This window comes from Homo sapiens, chromosome 4 (genome assembly GCF_000001405.40).
Source record: "Homo sapiens chromosome 4, GRCh38.p14 Primary Assembly".
Taxonomy (NCBI): domain Eukaryota; kingdom Metazoa; phylum Chordata; class Mammalia; order Primates; family Hominidae; genus Homo; species Homo sapiens.
In genome coordinates, this window is record NC_000004.12 from 106,699,457 (window position 1) to 106,717,392 (window position 17,936).

General features: G+C 37.6%; 1 long non-coding RNA gene across 2 annotated transcripts in view; it reads left to right on the top strand.

The window, feature by feature from the left end:
- The window catches only part of LOC105377356 (uncharacterized), a 288,441-nt gene that overhangs the window by 173,614 nt on the left and 96,891 nt on the right, over positions 1 to 17,936 (top strand). For both annotated transcript variants that reach the window (XR_939051.1, XR_939053.3), the window contains exon 4: positions 7,882 to 7,982. This is a non-coding gene — a long non-coding RNA (uncharacterized LOC105377356). The remainder of the gene's footprint in view (positions 1 to 7,881; positions 7,983 to 17,936) is intronic.

Consider the following 17,936-nt stretch of genomic DNA (forward strand, 5'->3'; position numbering starts at 1 on the left):
AATAACTTAAATGTGGTCATGGTCTATATGGTCAAAGCCTTGATCAAAAAGGTCACTAACTGAAACAGCTATGAAGGGTTCTTTGTTCAGCTGAAGCTTTTTCTGTTTAACCAAGGTGCTTTCTTTCAAACCTAGAGTCATCTGTACTTTATCTAGTCGATAAGTTAGTCTTTTCTACTCCATGGAAAAGATACTCCTCAGTTCCCAGTTTTGCAAAAAGTGATAAGAGTATCTGGAGTATGGAAAAGGCTAAATGACATCATTCTCACTGGGATTACTGGTAAAGAAAGAAGATGTAGGTTATGACCATATAAAATTAACAGATCTAGCCAAAACTTAAATTGTAATTCAATCTTGTGAGTTAGTCCTCTATAAATGAGCTCCTCCAAAATAAATCAGTGCATTTCCTGGTTTTGAGCAACAAAACTTACCACTTCTTCCTCTAGTTTATTCCATTAAAAAGTTTGGTCTTAACTACCAACTACTGGAATGGGAAAAGTCACTCACCATCACTGGGCTTTAATTTCTTCACTGTAAAGTAAGGAATTTGGAGTTATTGTTAGATCAACTCCAAAGATTTATAAAGTTGAAATTTTTGTTTGTTTGTTTGTTTGTTTTTGAGGTGCAGTCTCACTCTGTCACCCAGGCTGGAGTGCAGTTGGTGCGATCTGGGCTCACTGAAATCTCTGCCTTCTGGGTTCAAGCAATTCTCCTGCCTTAGCCTCACAAGTAGCTGGGATTACAAGTGGCTGCCACCACACCTGGCTAATTTTTGTATTTTTAGTAGAGACTGGGTTTTGCCTTGTTGGTCATGCTGGTCTCAAACTCCTGACCTCAAGTGATTTGCCCACCTTGGGCTCCCAAATTGCTGGGATTACAGGCATGAGCCACCATGCCCCACCATAAAGTTGAAATATTTTTGGAATAGAATATTGTAACTATTCATGGCATAGCTAAAAGTCTTCTTGAAATAGTCTGCTATAAAGAATGTGATATTATCTTACTATTTTGCTTAAAAATCTTTCAATGATTCCTCATCACAATCACAGTGAAAATAGAAGTCCTGTTTATATAAAGGCGCTCCTTAATTTGGTTCCCAGGGAGCTCTCTGATGTCCTTTCTATGCCCATAACTGTTTCTCACTTAGTCCAGCTACACTGCCCTCCTTGGTGTCACTGAACACACCACGTACTTCACCCTCAGGGCCTTTGCAGTAATCTTTCCTAGGACTCTATTTTCTTAGCCATGTACCTAGCTCACTCCCTTACCTATTTCAGATGTCGAATAAAATGCCACTTTCTTAACAAGCTATTCCTTGCTCTTCTGCCTAAATGTTTCCCCTCACATTTCTGAGCCTTAGTCCCTGCTTTATTATTCTTCTTATTAACTAATCTAACATACATGACACAGAACATACTATGTAATTTATTATCTATCTCTGTTAACCAGAATATAAGGTTTTTTCCTTTTCCTTATTTTTTTTGCTGCTCACTCAAAATTTGTGAAAGAATGATGAAAAGAATGAATGAAGGATAGAAATGTTTTCTGCTGAAAAGACAGATGAGAGTCTAATGAAATTCTTGATTCTGATTCAATATGGTGTCCATTTGTGAATATAGTCCCTGTCTTTTCTTGACCACTGAGTAATTATTCAGATGAGAACATATAACACTCCATGTGGATTTTGACTCTGGGGACTGAAAATACTCTTTAATCACTGTGCAAATAGATGTCAATCATCTGTTATGCAATGACAGCTAATTCACTATGTATAGATGCAAACCATTCCATTTTAATTTAACTAAATATAGCACTTTTCTTCCTCTTGAAATCCATCCCCTCTGCCTGCCCTCACTCTCCGTCTTTTAGAAATCATATTACAAATAGATTTCTGCTACAGTGTTTTGGAAAAATATTTAGTTACTTTAAATTCACTGCTGTAAAAAAAATTATCTGGGGCTCCAGTATGATCAAGTCGGCTTCATCACTGGGATGCAAAGCTGGTTCAATATATGCAAATCAATAAATGTAATCCATCACATAAACAGAAACAATGACAAAACCCACATTATTATCTCAATAGATGAAGAAAAGGCCTTTGAAAAAATTCAACACCCCTTCATGCTAAAAACTCTCAATAAATTAGGTATTGATGGAACGTATCTCAAAATAATAAGAGCTATTTATGACAGACCCACAGCCAATATCATACTGAATGGGCAAAAACTAGAAGTGTTCCCTTGGAAAACCGGCACAAGACAAGGATGCCCTCTCGCACCACTCCTATTCAACAAAGTATTGGAAGTTCTGGCCAGGGAAATCAGGCAAGAGAAAGAAATAAAGGGTATTCAAGTAGGAAGAGAGAACGTAAAACTGTCTCTGTTTGCAGATGACATGATTGTATATTTAGAAAACCCCATCATTTCAGCCCCAAATTTCCTTAAGCTGATAAGCAAATTCAGCAAAGTCTCAGGGCACAAAACAATGTGCAAAAATCACAAGCATTCCTATACACCATAATAGACAGAGTCAAACCATGAGTGAACTCCCATTCACAAGTGCTACAAAGAGAATAAAATAACTAGGAATACCACTTACAAGGGATGTAAAGGACCTCTTCAAGAAGAACCACAAGCCACTGCTCAAGGAAATAAGAGAGGACACAAACAAATGGAAGAACATTCCATGCTCATGGATAGGAAGAATCAATATTGTGAAAATGGCCATACTGCCCAAGGTAATTTATAGATTCAGTGCCATCCCCATCAAGCTACCAATGACTTTCTTCACAGAATTGGAAGAAACTACTTTAAAGTTCACGTGGAACCAAAAAAGAGCCCGCATTGCTAAGACAATCCTAAGCCAAATGAACAAAGCTGGAGGCATCATGCTACCTGACTTCAAACTCTACTACAAGGCTACGATAACCAAAACAGCATGGTACTGGTACCAAAACAGAGATATAGGCCAGTGGAACAGAACAGAGGCCTCAGAAATAACACCACACATCTACAACCATCTGATCTTTGACAAGCCTGACAAAAACAAGCAATTTTCAGGGAAAGGATTCCCTATTTAATAACTGGTGTTGGGAAAACTGGCTAGCCATATGCAGAAAACTTAAACTGGATCCCTTCCTTACACCTTATACAAAACTTAACTCAAGATGGATTAAAGACTTAAATGTAAGACCTAAAACCATAAAAACCCTAGAAGAAAACCTTGGCAATACCATTCAGGACATAGGCATGGGCAAAGACTTCATGACTAAAACACCAAAAGCAATGGCAACAAAACCCAAAACTGACAGATGGGATCTAATTAAACTAAAGAGCTTCTGCACAGCAAACGAAGCTACCATCAGCTTGAACAGGCAACCTACAGAATGGGAGAAAATTTTTGCAATCTACTCATCTGACAAAGGGCTAATATCCAGAATCTACACAGAACTTAAACAAATTTACAAGAAAAAAACAACCCCATCACAAAGTGGGTGAAAGATATGAACAGACACTTCTCAAAAGAAGACATTTATATGGCCAACAAACATATGAAAAAAAGCTCATCATCACTGGTCACTAGAGAAATGCAAATCGAAACCACAATGAGACACCATCTCACACCAGTTAGAATGGCGATCATTAAAAAGTCAGGAAACAACAGATGCTGGAGAGGATGTGGATAAATAGGAATGCTTTCACACTGTTTGTGGGAGTGTAAATTAGTTCAACCATTGTGGAAGATAGTGTGGCAATTCCTCAAAGATCTAGAACCAGAAATACAATTTGACCCAGCAATCCCATTACTGGATATATACCCAAAGGATTATAAATCATTCTACTATAAACACAAATGCACACATATGTTTATTGCAGCACTGTTCACAATACAAAGACTTGGAACCAACCCAAATGCCCATCAGTGATAGACTGGATAAAGAAAATGTGGCACCATGTACACCATGGAATACTATGCAGCCATAAAAAAGGATGAGTTCATATCCTTTGCAGGGCCATGGATGAAGCTGGAAACCATCATTCTCAGCAAACTAACACAAGAACAGAAAACCAAACACTGCATGCTCTCGCTCATAAGTGGGAGTTGAACAATGAGAACACATGGACACAGGGAGGGGAACATCACACTGGGACCTGTCGGGGGATGGGGGCCTAGGGGAGGGGTAGCATTAGGAGAAATACCTAATGTAAATGACAGGTTGATGGGTACAGCAAACCACCATGGCATGTGTATACCTATGTAACCAAACTGCATGCTCTGCACATGTACCCCAGAACTTAAAGTACAATTAAAAAAATTATCTGGGACAAAAGTTCTCAAAAACTTAATCTATTTGGTGTAAACAAATTTTAATTAAGGTCCATAGGATATTGTAGCAAATTTTAGGAGAAAAATGATGAGATTATTTACCTCTGACCTCACGTGCCTCACAGAAACTGTCACTCACTCACTCACTATGTGTAACTATATCTAACATAACCTGAAAAGCAAACAGTCCCTTTAGTTATGTTAAAGTCCCTAGAACAGAAAATACAGACCACTTATGAAAAGCTCATAAGGTAAGTGAGGGACCTGAGTTTTATTATTTATATTAGACCATGTCGATCTCATTGTATTCTTTCTAGAATATAAATCTGCTAGAAAGGATAATGAGTCTAGCTTGTTATTTACTGGACTTGCTTCTTCCAAAATTTTTCTTGAAGAACTGATGTCCAGTCTTCACAGTTCCAACCAGCAAACTACGTCAGTTATGCTGCTTCAGCAGGGACAATTTGTGGCCTTCTTAAAGAGGCTGCAGATGAATTACTGGTTTTAGTCACTAGTTGATTAGCTTGATGATGTGAACTTCAAAATGTTTATTCCTTCTGTTCATTTTCATTTTTTATAGTTTATGTATTCTTGGTAGTCTCTTTCTTCTTCTGTGATGTTTTGTTCAAAAATGCTTACAATCCCAAGGCATTTACTGGTGTACAGCCTGACTCAGCATGTTCTTAGACATGCATGGTATTTGACAAATAATTTGGGATTTTAAGGCAAACTTAGAGATGCCTAAGATTGGTTAGACGCTATTGACGGGTGGCAAGCACATTGCTGAAAAGTGTCCTTGCTGCACTTAATTAATCCCCATCAGAAGCTAGGTGATCCCTGACTACAGATTTAGTCATCAACTTGCTTGCGTTTGAGGCGAGGTATTCATCCATGTAAACTGCAACCCTCTTGTCATCCCTCTTACCACCTACGTCTTTCTTGTGAAACAGGAAGGGTTTGGGGATGATCTGGTGTTTTCAGCCTGCAAAATTAAGGGTCACAGTTGTGCTTCTTTCCACATGTGTTTCTATTATTTTCCGTGGACCATTTCTCAGTTGCCACCCAAAGAGATGAAGGCAAAGCCCCTGCTCCAAGGGCTTGGACACCAGCACAATGCTGACTGGTGTGTGGTGAGGCCTGTGTGGTTTAGGAAACTGTACTGCTGGTTTGAGCTTTCCCAACAGTGTAAAGTAAAAGAATAAAATAGACAAGGATTTCTATTTGTTTTCTGTAGCTAGGGTCATTTTATTTTGTGATTGATTCATCTGGAAAGTGTTTTTAAAAAGAATTTGCCACCTCATGTGGTCTGGTGTCAGCACCATTCAAGATGATGGGCTATATTTGAGGTTTATAGATTTAGAATTATTTATTTCTCTTAAAAGTCTAGCTAATTGACGTGAATCCAGATGCCAGGAGGAGCCAGTTATGAGGTAATGACCAACATTGCCTTCTTATCAAGTTAGATAGCTTTTGTCTCATTAGCAAGATATTTATATCAAATTTTCACACCTCTTCTCATTTCTCTACATTCCTGCCAAATAGCTACCCATTTCTTGAGACACAAACTAAGTGTTGACCTTGAAGCCTTTCCTTGCCAACCTTTCCTGTCCAGTAGAAATTACCTCTTTAAACTTTAAGCCCCAAAGTAGACCAAGACATCTCTCTTAGCACTTAGTCTAATTTGTTTACTCACTTGGCTTTCCTAATTAAACTGTGAACTCTCTGGAGACTTGGCTTTCCTAATTAGACTTGAGAACTCTCTGACCAGCACCATTTTTATCATGGGTGTATGAAACACTATTCTCCATGCTATATAGTAGGTTCTCAACAAATGCTGGTTGAATAAAAAATATTTGAATGAATACATCTAATGCACACAGTGTGCATGGAACATGCTATGGTGCTTCAGAACTCTAGTCTGTTTTGTGAGCTTTGGCCTTCAACTGTAATGACTTTCCCTTTTCTCTGCCTGGCAAAATTTTTCTTTTCCTTTATATATCTGTTTAATAGTCAATTATCCTGTAGAATGTTTCCTGCGGTTCCCAAGAACTCTTCATTAATCCTTTCTATTTGTCCAGAGGTCTACTAGCACTTACCTCACACTAGAGTTATTATTTATGCATCTGTTGGTCTTGTTCTCTTAACGGTGACCTCCTGGTGGGTGAGGACTCTGACTAGTTTAGATTTTACCCTATGTGCTCAGTGTAGGCCTGGCTCAGAGATGGTGCTCAATGAGAGTGTCTGTCAGACTCCTAGTCTAGACCCTGATGTTAATCATTTGTGGAAGTGTGAAGACAATACCGTACTTTTGTAGTCCTCAACATCCAATTTAAAAACTGAGAGACTGAATGAGAACTGTAATTCTCTTCTGGTTTTAGATTTTTTTTTAGCACAGTATTGCTACTTTTCACTGCTGTGTATTTTGTTCTTGTCTGGATTTGTGTCTTTCTCATTTACAGCTTTACTTTTCTTGTCTTTGTCTTATTTATTCATTCAGTTTTTTTTTCCTCCTAGTGTCACATGAATACATTTAAACCGTCAACTACAAAATTATGAGTTGAAAGAAGTAATTGTTCGATGTATGATCTTGTCAAGTTACTTAATCTTTCTATAGCTCTGTTTCTTCATCTGTAAAATGAGAATAATAACAGTATGCACCTCATAGATTTGTTGAAAGGATTCAATTATTGATTATTGGTAAAGCCTTTTGAACATTGCTTGTCACATAGTAAATGCAATCGAGTGCTTAACACATCTCTGTCCTCCATTGTCATGATCAGCCAGGAAAAAGACTGAATGTGCTGCTTTCCAGATTATAAAACCCCTGAATTTGACTAATATAGTTATCAGCAAAACTTTCAGGGAATTGTACTACATTTTTATCACACAATCTAAATAATAATCCAAATATTTATTCTAAATACTTACTCTTATACTTGCACACATGCCATTCAAAATTTATATATGGTGGAATATTATGTGGTTAATTCCCTAGTAATCTGAAAGGCAGAGTGTAGCTATTACAATGAATAGTTCTCTAATAAAAGACTTTCATCTTGCCAATTCCATGATACTTTAAAATTAGAATTACACAGTTTTAAGGGCCAGTGTAAAATGTATTAGAGTCCAGAATATGAAAGGAAGAAGAGGATTTTAGAACACAGGTTTGGCTGGATTTATACAGGCCCCCAAAATACTTTTTGCAAATAAGATACAGATTTGCTATGTAACCCTATTATAACAGTATCCAAATGACATAAGATATATTAATGAAAAAGTAGTTTGTTTCAAAACATTTTAATATGTGCTACATTTGTCTATCCTATGCCTGACGTAGAAATATCTTTTTCAAGACCGCCTACCCTATTTGTGTATAATGTGCCTCATTTTATGGGAGCCATTACTATGTGTTCACTACCAAATGAGATGGTATGTGTATAAGTTGGGGTACAGGAGATACAACCATAGCAGTTAAAATCTTATACAAGGAAATACAAGCAGTATTTAATTTTTGGAAAAAAAAGTTTAGGAAAAAATTATGTTTTCCATTTTCAGGGATTAAACAGCATTCTAGAAAACAAGACAGACCATGAAGAGTATGGGAAGAAACAGGAAGGCCTATTTCCCGGTACCATACCCAGAAGCTGTATAATAGGGTAAGTTATTTGACCTCTTTGTTCTGTGTTCTCCTCATTTGTCAAACAACATTTGTGAACAGTATTGCTGGTGGAGAAGAAAATTGTAAGAGAAGAGCTCAGGAATCTCAGATGAGAGGCTATTGTGATAGTCTAGGTGAGATTTCATACAGCAAACACAATTCACAACTTTTACAATGTCCTGGCACTCACTTGTTGAGTAGGGATACATTGTTTTATTAGATAATAGAGGAGGAGCTATTATTAGATAATAGAGGAAAGACCTTTTAGCTCCAGAATTGCCTTTATCTTCTTATCAATAAGCTGCTTAAAATTCTTCTTTTAAAGATGACTTCTATGGTCTTATGTGTATTTTGTAGTAAAGGTGAAAATGTGACATTAGTAATCTTCTTAGTAAATATCACTTCCTCGTAACCTTCCTAATAAATACCATTCCCTTTCTAGCAGAAACAAGTATAAGTGAATTAAGATGATGAGGAAGGATGTGGTGGGACTTGTGGTGAACAACAGCATGTGGACCTTCTGAATTCTCCTACAGCCAGTCCCTTACACAAACCAAGAGCTCTCTGGACTTTTATAACAAAAGGGGAAACTCCAGAGTTTTATGTTTAATTTCCTTAATTTTAAAACCCTGTGCAGATTGAGCAAAACATTTGCAGAGCATGTCTGGCTAGTGGACCCCTCTTGGTCATATTGTCTGCAGCCCATGCCAGTGCTGCTGAGATATTGGGCAGAATCTTGACCTCTGCAAACCAGGAGTAGCACATGAGCAAGCAAGATATACTTTGAGAATGGAAATTTCTCTGAGGAAAGTATTTCCTTCTTGAGAGCCAGCCAGCCTGTGGTGTCAGATTAGTCATATAGAGGAACATGTCAGATAGACTAGGCCAAGTAGAACTTTAATTGAGCCAGGTGCCTGTGGTGGGTTGATTATATTAGTGTTCACTGTGGCCACTCTCCCCTGGGCCCTCGGGCACACTGAGAGACCCCTCTGCTTGTCTCTGTGCAGGTTCTTATTCCATTTCCCCTTAGTAACTATTTGACAACTTCACCACTCTTTCAAGCCCTTTTACTTTCACTGTCCTCATCTCTGTTAAAACATGAATGTATTCTTCCTCTTTGTGAAAACGAAGGCTAGCAATTATGAACTTCTTTATTCTGGACTCCCACTGTTCAAATAAAGTGACATTTGCCTTTACTATCACTTCTTTTCTCCAGTCTCAGAAAAACGGAAGCTTTTTTTTTTTTTGTCTGTTCATGGTCAGTCCCACAGCTTTTGAGCTGGTCCCTTTTCATCTCTTATACAATCGCTATCAGCCCTTCCCTTTTCTGTATTTTGAATCCACAACCCAAACGCCACCTCTACCGGCTGTTCCATATGTGTGTGTATGTACGCCTCTGTCTCTCTATTACTACAGCCTCCTTCCAGTGGTCCATAAACAAGTTCTTGTATTTTCTAGGTTAAAAATTAAAACAAAGAAAAGCAAATGCCTCCCTCTGATTGCTTTGACTCTGTGTCCTCCCCTTGTTTCTTTTTCTCTCTCCTGCTCTCTGCTGTTCCTCAAAGAAGAGTCTGCTCTCAGGGAGTTCAGTTCTTTGGTTCCCACTCATGCCGTAACCCTGGCCATCAGTATGCCTCACACACAGGCCCTCTGCAAATACTCTGGCAAAGTATGTGTCTGATTGGTAATGCATATTAAAAACATATCTGCTGTTGATGTGATATCTGGGATTTGCTTCTAAATAATGCCGGAAAGGGAGAACTGGGTGGAGGTTAGGGTGAAGTGAAATTGGCTATGCCTTGATGGTTTCTGAATCTGGGTGATGAGTCCCCCTGGCAAAACCCTGGATCCTTCAATTCTAAAACTAATAAGTCTTTTTAAAAAATCTCTCAACTTATTTGATTTCTTTGTGGCATCCAACCATTTACTGCCATCTTTGTGACAAACTCTTCTCCCTTAGCACTTGCATCTCGCTCTTAGGTTACCCCTTCTCTCTGTTTTAGTCTCTTTGTGGGTTTGTTTTCTAATGCCAATTCCTTAAACATGGGTTTTCTTAGGATTACGGCTTTAGGCCCTTTCCTCTTCTTACCTGCCCACAGAAGCTGAGAGAATAATTTCTCTTGAGTTCAACCACAATCTAAGGAATATTGACCATTTAATCTTTATCTCAGTATAGTTTAAGTCACTGTTCCTCAGTTTCATACTTTCAGAATATTTTTTTTTCAGTATTTTTAGTAGAGACGAGGTTTTGCCACGTTGTCCAGGCTGGTCTCAAACTCCTGACCTGAGTATATCTGCCTGCCTCTGCCTCCCAACGTGCTGGGATTACAGCACAGTTTCATATTTTCAATTGTGCTTATCTACAGCAACATTTCCAAAACAATACTATCATTATCTTCCTATTCCTCTCAACCTGATCTTTACTCTCAAATTACACTATCCCAAGAGTCATCTTTTTTAGGAAGATGCCCCCTCATTAATCATGCCTTCCTCAAAGCCAAGTAGGAGCTCCCTTCTTTCAGCTGGAACATTACAGTGCCCTGTTGCTCCCATTCTACATGTTGTTTTCTCTTCCTATACTTCCCCAAGGCTGGACCAAACATCAGATTCATATTGGTATTCCCACCCCCAGTATAATATAGTGAACATCAACAATACACATTTGTTGGAGTTATTAATAATGTAATCTTGGAATTTAGTGCTAAAGGGATCATGTAGTTCAGAGTATCTCAAAGAACAGCTCAGTGTTCAGGGCCTGAGTTTAAATCCTGACTCTGCCAATTATTAGCTTTGTGATATAGGGAAGTATGTAAAAACTCACTTAATGCTCTTTTTTTGAGCTGTAACAAATGAATGCCCAAATTACAAATAAAAAAAGGAAAATTTAGAAATGTAATTTCTTTTTTTTTACATTTACTTATATAGTTTATTTTGTTTTCTTAGTTCTTTTTTTTATTATACTTTAAGTTCTAGGGTACATGTGCACAACGTACAGGTTTCTAACATATGTATACATGTGCCATGTTGGTGTGCTGCACACATTAATTCGTTATTTACATTAGGTATATCTCCAAATGCTATTCCTCTGCCCTCCCCCCACCCCACGACAGGCCCCAGTGTGTAATGTTTCCCTTCCTGTGTCCAAGTGCTCTCATTGTTCAATTCCCACCTATGAGTGAGAACATGCGGTGTTTGGTTTTTTTGTCCTTGAGATAGTTTGCTGAGAATGATGGTTTGCAGCTTCATCTATGTCCCTGCAAAGGACATAAAGTCATCCTTTTATATGGCTGCATAGTATTCCATGGTGTATATGTGCCACATTTTCTTAATCCAGTCAATCATTGTTGGATATTTGGGTTGGTTCCAAGTCTTTGCTATTGTGAGTACTGCCGCAATAAACATACGTATGCATGGGTCTTTATAGCAGCATGATTTATATTCCTTTACGTATATACCCAGTAATGGGATGGGTGGGTCAAATGGTATTTCTAGTTCTGGATCCCTGAGGAATCACCACACTGTCTTCCACAATGGTTGAACTAGTTTACAATCCCACCAACAGTGTAAAAGTGTTCCTATTTCTGCATATCCTCTCCAGCACCTGTCGTTTCCTGACTTTTTAATGATCGCCATTCTAACTGGTGTAGATGATATCTCATTGTGGTTTTGATTTGCATTTCTCTGACGGCCAGTGATGATGAGCATTTTTCATGTGTTTTTTTTGGCTGCATAAATGTCTTTTTTTGAGAAGTGTCTGTTCGTATCCTTCGCCCACTTTTTGATGGGGTCATTTCTTTTTTTCTTGTAAATTTGTTTGAGTTCTTTGTAGATTCTGGATATTAGCCCTTTTTCAGATGAGTAGGTTGCAAAAATTTTCTCCCATTTTGTAGGTTGCCTGTTCACTCTGATGGTAGTTTCTTTTGCTATGCAGAAGCTCCTTAGTTTAATTAGATCACATTTGTCAATTTTGGCTTTTGTTGCCATTGCTTTTGGTGTTTTAGACATGAAGTCCTTGCCCATGCCTATGTCCTGAATGGTAATGCCTAGGTTTTCTTCTAGGGTTTTTATGGTTTTAGGTCTAATATTTAAGTCTTCAATCCATCTTGAATTAATTTTTGTATAAGGAGTAAGGAAGGGATCCAGTTTCAGCTTTCTACATATGGCTAGCCAGTTTTCCCAGCACCATTTATTAAATAGGGAATCCTTTCCCCGTTTCTTCTTTTTGTCAAGTTTGTCAAAGATCAGGTGGTTGTAGATGTGTGGTATTATTTCTGAGGGCTCTGTTCTGTTCCATTGATCTATATCTCTGTTTTGGTATCAGTACCATGCTGTTTTGGTTACCATAGCCTTGTAGTGTAGTTTGAAGTCAGGTAGCATGATGCCTCCAGCTTTGCTCTTTTGGCTTAGGATTGACTTGGCAATGGGGGCTCTTTTTTGGTTCCATATGAACTTTAAAGTAGTTTTTTCCAATTCTGTGAAGAAAGTCATTGGTAGCTTGATGGGGATGGCATTGAATCTATAAATTACCTTGGGCAGTATGGCCATTTTCATGATATTGATTCTTCCTATCCATGAGCATGGAATGTTCTTCCATTTGTTTGTGTCTTCTTTTATTTCATTGAGCAGTGGTTTGTAGTTCTCCTTGAAGAGTTCCTTCACATCCCTTGTAAGTTGGATTCCTAGGTATTTTATTCTCTTTGAAGCAATTGTGAATGGGAGTTCACTCATGATTTGGTTCTCTGTTTGTCTGTTATTGGTGTATAGGAATGCTTGTAATTTTTGCACATTGATTTTGTATCCTGAGACTTTGCTGAAGTTGCTTATCAGCTTAAGGAGATTTTGGGCTGAGGCAATGGGGTTTTCTAGATATACAATCATCACATCTGCACACAGGGACAATTTGACTTCCTATTTTTCTAATTGAATACCCTTTATTTCTTTCTCCTGCCTGATTGCCCTGGCCAGAACTTCCAACAGTATGTTGAATAGGAGTGGTGAGAGAGGGCATCCCTGTCTGTGCCAGTTTTCAAATAGAATGCTTCCAGTTTTTGCCCATTCAGTATGATATTGGCTGTGGGTTTCTCATAAATAGCTCTTATTATTTTGAGATATGTCCCATCAATACCTAATTTATTGAGAGTTTTTAGCATGAAGGGCTGTTGAATTTTGTCAAAGGCCTTTCTGCATCTTTTGAGATAATCATGTGGTTTTTGTCTTTGGTTCTGTTTATATGCTGGATTACGTTTATTGATTTGCATATGTTGAACCTTGCTTCCCAGGGATGAAGCCCACTTGGTCATGGTGGATAAGCTTTTTGATGTGCTGCTGAATTTGGTTTGCCAGTATTTTATTGAGGTTTTTTGCATCGATGTTCATCAGGGATATTGGTCTAAAATTCTCTTCTTTGTTGTGTCTCTACCAGGCTTTGGTATCAGGATGATGCTGGCCTCATAAAATGAGTTAGGGAGGATTCCCTCTTTTTCTATTGATTGGAATAGTTTCAGAAGGAATGGTACCAGCTCCTCCTTGTACCTCTGGTAGAACTGAGCTGTGAATCCGTCTGCTCCTGGACTTTTTTTGGTTGGTAGGCTCTTAATTATTGCCTCAATTTCAGAGCCTGTTATTGGTCTATTCAGGGATTCCACTTCTTCCTGGTTCAGTCTTGGGAGGGTGTAAGTGACCAGGAATTTATCCATTTCTTCTAGATTTTCTAGTTTATTTGCATAGAGGTGTTTATAGTATTCTCTGATGGTAGTTTGTATTTCTGTGAGATCCGTGGTGATATCCCCTTTATCATTTTTTATTGCGTCTATTTGATGCTTCTCTCTTTTCTTCTTTATTAGTCTTGCTAGCAGTCTATGAATTTTGTTGATGTTTTCAAAAACCACCTCCTGGATTCATTGAATTTTTGAAGGGTTTTTTGTGTCTCTATCTCCTTCACTTCTGCTCTGATCTTAGTTTTTTCTTGCCTTCTGCTAGCTTTTGAATGTGTTTGCTCTTGCTTCTCTAGTTCTTTTAATTGTGATGTTAGGGTGTCAATTTTAGATCTTTCCTGCTTTCTCTTATGGGCATTTAGTTTTATAAATTTCCCTCTACACACTGCTTTAAATGTGTCCCAGAGATTCTGGTATGTTGTGTCTTTGCTGTCATTGGTTTCAAAGAACATCTTTATTTCTGCCTTCATTTTGTTATGTACCCAGTAGTCATTCAGGAACAGGTTGTTCAGTTTCCATGTAGTTGTGCAGTTTTGAGTGAGTTTCTTAATGCTGAGTTCTAGTTTGATTGCACTATGGTCTGAGAGACAGTTTGTTATAATTTCTGTTCTTTTACATTTGCTGAGGACTGCTTTACTTCCAACTCTGTGGTCAGTTTTGGAATAAATGCAATGTGGTGCTGAGAAGAATTAAGGGCAGCCAGAGAGAAAGGTCAGGTTACCCACAAAGGGATGCCCATCTGACTAACAGGTGATCTCTTGGCAGAAATTCTACAAGCCAGAAGAGAATGGGGGCCAATATTCAACATTCTTAAAGAAAAGAATTTTCAACCCAGAATTTCATATCCAGCCAAACTAGGCTTCATAAGTGAAGGAGAAATAAAATCCTTTATAGACAAGGAAATGCTGAGAGATTGTGTCACCACCAGGCTGCCCTACAAGAGCTCCTGAAGGAGGCACTAAACATGGAAAGGAACAACCAGTACCAGCCACTGCAAAAACATATGCCAAATTGTAAAGACTATCATTGCTAGGAAGAAACTGCATCAACTAATGAGCAAAATAACCAGCTAACATCGTAATGACAGGATCAAATTCACACATAACAATAATAACCTTAAATGTAAATGGGCTAAATGCTCCAATTAAAAGACACAGACTGGCAAATTGGATAAAGAGTAAAGACCCATCAATGTGCTGTATTCAGGAGACCTATCTCAGGTGCAGAGACACACATAGGCTCAAAATAAAGGAATGGGGGAAGATCTACCAAGCAAATGGAAAACAAAAAAAAGCAGGGGTTGCAATCCTAGTCTCTGATAAAACAGATATAAACCAACAAAGATCTAAAGAGACAAAGAAGGCCATTACATAATGGTAAAGGGATCAATTCAACAAGAAGAGCTAACTATTGTAAACATATATGCACCCAATACAGGAGCACTCAGATTCATAAAGCAAGTCCTTAGAGACCTACAAAGAGTCTTCGACTCCCACAGAATAATAATGGGAGACTTTAATACCCCACTGTCAACATTAGACAGATCAATGAGACAGAAATTTAACAAGGATATCCAGGAATTGAACTCAGCTCTGCACCAAGTGGACCTAACAGACATCTACAGAACTCTCCACCCCAAATCCACAGAAATGTAATTTCTTAATTATTCTCAAAAAAATGGTTTTATTAAGATGTCAAGACCTGTATTTATATTAAAAATTCACGTTTTTGTAGAAACAAAATTGTTCTAAGTTTACATAATGGAAATAAATATAATATATAGTGTACTATATATAGTGTGTAATGTAAATACATTTTCTAAGAGCATTGCTAGTCAAACAAGTTTGAGGATCATTTAATGTAAATGGAAATTGAGGCTCAGAAATTTTAAATGACTTGTCCAAGTCTTCACAATTCATGTCTGACCTGGAATTTGAATGTATTTGCCTGACTCCCAGTGTACATTCCTTACCATCATGACATTTATCATAAATCCATAAAACACTATGACTTCGTCAGTCTGCTTGGACTTGGAATACTTTTCTTTGTAATGATAAAATTTTGCATAGTAAAAGGACTGTACATATTGAGATGCAAGTAAAAACTTGTAACATTTAACTAAATCAAAGTAATACATGTTAATGGAAATAAGGGAATTTATGAAAACCATTATTTGAAAAATATTTCTGGACTTGACAGAAAAAAATTAAAACAATATTCCAACCTAAAAATTGCATGACCACCTCTCTTGATTTGTCATATAATTTTTTTTTTTTGAGGCGGAGTCTCACTCTGTCGCCCAGCCTGGAGTGCAGTGGCGCGATCTCGGCTCACTGCAGGCTCTGCCTTCTGGGTTCACGTCATTCTCTTGCCTCAGCCTCCGGAGTAGCTGGGACTACAGGCGCCTGCCACCATGCCTGGCTAATTTTTTGTAATTTTAGTAGAGACAGGGTTTCACCGTGTTAGCCACGATGGTCTTGATCTCCTGACCTCGTGTTCCGCCCACCTCAGCCTCCCAAAGTGCTGGGATTACAGGTGTGAGCCACCGCACCCAGCCAATTTGTCATATAATTTAACTTGTTCTTTCCACCTCAGTTCAGTCATCTTTTCCACCACATCTCAAAGCTCACTGTCTTGCTGTAAAATTCTTTTTTAAAATCATCTTCTCAAATATTAAATCTATACATTCTGATTTGGGTCTTGAATGTATACTTAAGAAAGTACAGTTCTCAGTACAGATATCCCAAAGCAGCCCAAAGAATGCAATTATATCAATAAATAGTTTCAGATGATGCCTGCAGTTGTAATGGCAATCTGTGGATTTCATTACTGTGAGACTATGTGGAGCTTTCTTTATTGTAGATATAATACTTCAGCAAATCTGAGGCCTGAAATTCTCAAGCTAATTGCATTTGACCAGCTTCTGAGCCTGAGTTCCTGCCTACAAGAATGACAAATATAAATTATTGCTATTAAGAGAGACTCTATAATGCATTTTGCAGAACAAAGAAATGAGAATGAAGTAAGATGAATGGCTTTTAAAAAAATGATCTTCTTAAATAATGTTATTTTAACTTCTGGGATAAAGGCACATTTAAGTAAATGAGCTGTAATGCAAGAGTAAGTTAGTTGTTCATCTATTCATGGAAGTGGCCATACAGATAGTTATCCTAGAGAGATGATAACTAGAATGGCTATTTTGAGGAATAAGAAGCATCTTATTCTTAATCTTTACCTAGCTGAGACTTTTAAAAATCCTCAGATTATACAGCCTGTGATTGCTCTATGTTACTTAAGGGAAACGTCATTTTAATCTAGAAGTTTTGTGAAGTAAATGGATTTAATCTTTTTCTTAAAAATTGGATCTCAGCTAGGAAAAGAAGAAAAAGAAAACCTTTTTAAGTTAATAAAGTGAAAAGAGAAAAAAATTGAGGGGAAAACTGGGTACTGAAAGACTAGTTTTTTAAGTGAGTTAAGTTATTGGAAGTAATAAAACTTTAGAGAAATATTTTATTATGGAGGGTATCAGAGAGCCATTAGAAGTTTCCCTCTCAATTGTTATCAAATAAATACATAGTAAAATGACTATAATAAAAGGATTTGTTGAGGTAGAGACTGATTGGAGAAAGGATAAAAATAATAAACAGAATTACTTTAATATCCTGTGAAAGAGCTAATAAAGATCGTTCTTAGGATGATAGCACAGCAAATGGAAACAAAGATTCAATGTAGAGAGCACACTTGTCAGGCCTTTAAGATAGATCAGTTTTAAGGGTCTAGGAAAATGGCCTCCTCCGCAATCACCACTATTTCTTTTGTATCTTACTTAATAAAATGGACATGCTTTCTAAAGTTTTCAACAGGCAAAAATTTAGCAACTTCCAAATAAGTAGAGGAAAGTGGGAATAACTATCAGGAATGCCAAGTGCCAAAACTAGTTGGTAGATATTGCTTTCAGTTCTTTTGTTAATCATAACATTATTAATAACATTTGCAAATGTGGAGAAAAGTTTGATGTTGTGCATAGTCATGGCACCTCTACTTGTTTAAACCATTTAAATTCCACAGAGGTTATTTTATCTGGTTCCATGGGAACAGTGTATTTGGTATAATAATAGGAATTTGAACAACCACAAACCAAATTTATGTGCTTATTCTGAGATACTGATTCCAGGGAAAGGCCTGCTGGGCTAATACGTACTTTGTAGATATTTCCGCAGGTCTTAATGAGCCAACAT